The sequence below is a fragment of the Homo sapiens genome, chromosome 1, assembly GCF_000001405.40.
Source record: "Homo sapiens chromosome 1, GRCh38.p14 Primary Assembly".
Classification (NCBI taxonomy): Eukaryota; Metazoa; Chordata; class Mammalia; order Primates; family Hominidae; genus Homo; species Homo sapiens.
Window position 1 is genome coordinate 227,392,417 of NC_000001.11, and position 1,137 is coordinate 227,393,553.

Below are 1,137 nucleotides of genomic sequence, written 5' to 3' on the forward strand. Positions count from 1 at the left end.
GGTGCAGTGGCTCATGCCTGTAATCCCAGCACTTTGGGAGGGTGAGGCGGACGGATCACCTGAGGTCAGGGGTTTGAGACTAGCCTGGCCAACATGGTGAAACTCCATTTCTACTAAAACTGCAAAAATTAGCCAGGCGTGGCGGGTGCCTGTAATTCCAGCTACATGGGAGGCTGAGGCAGGAGAATCGCTTGAACCCGGGAGGCAGAGGTTGCAGTTAGCCGAGATCACGCCACCGCATTCCAGCTTGGGTGACAGAGTGAGACTCTGTCTCAAAAAAAAAAAAAAAAATCCAATATAGCTAAGAGAAGACACATAGCTATTATAAATAGAGATATGTGATCACCTACCCATCCAAGTTTTAAAAATAGTCTTAAGTGCTATTCCCTCGAAGATCTGTAGAATTTGCTTTAAAAATAAATATCGGTTGGGCATGATGGCTCACATCCGTAATCCCAGAACTTTGAGAGGCTGAGGTGGAAGGATGGCTTGAGGTCAGGAGTTCAAGACCAGCCTGGGCAACATAGTAAGACCCGCCCCCCCACCCCATCTCTCCAAAAACATTTTTAAAAAATTGACCAGGCATGCTAGTACATGCCTGTAGTTTCAGCTCCTTGGGAGACTGAGGCAGGCAGATTGCTTGAGCCTGGGATTTCGAGGCTTCAGTGAGTTATGATGGCACCACTGCACCCAGCCTGGGCAACAGAATGAGACTCCATCTCCAAAAATAATAAATAAATAAATAAATAAATAAATAAATAAGTATTCTTTTTTATAGTGCAATGATCTGTGATTTTATATATCTGTGGGTGCAATTGTATCTCTTTATGATTCCTAATATAGTTTATTTGTGCTCTTTTGTTTCTTTATCAGTCTTATTAAAGATTGGGTAATCAAACCGGATTTTTTTCTTAAAACTAACTTTCATTTGTATTTATTTACTCTATTTTATGACTTTGGTTTCTATTTCAGCCTTTTCTGCCCTTATTTTTACTGATGCCTCCTTCTGTTATGGGTCAAATTGTGCCCCCTGCCCAAAGATAGGTTTAAGTTTCAATCTCCAGTACTTCAGAATGTGACTTTATTTGGCAACGGGGTCATTGCAGATGCAATTAGCTAAGTTCAGATGAGGTCATA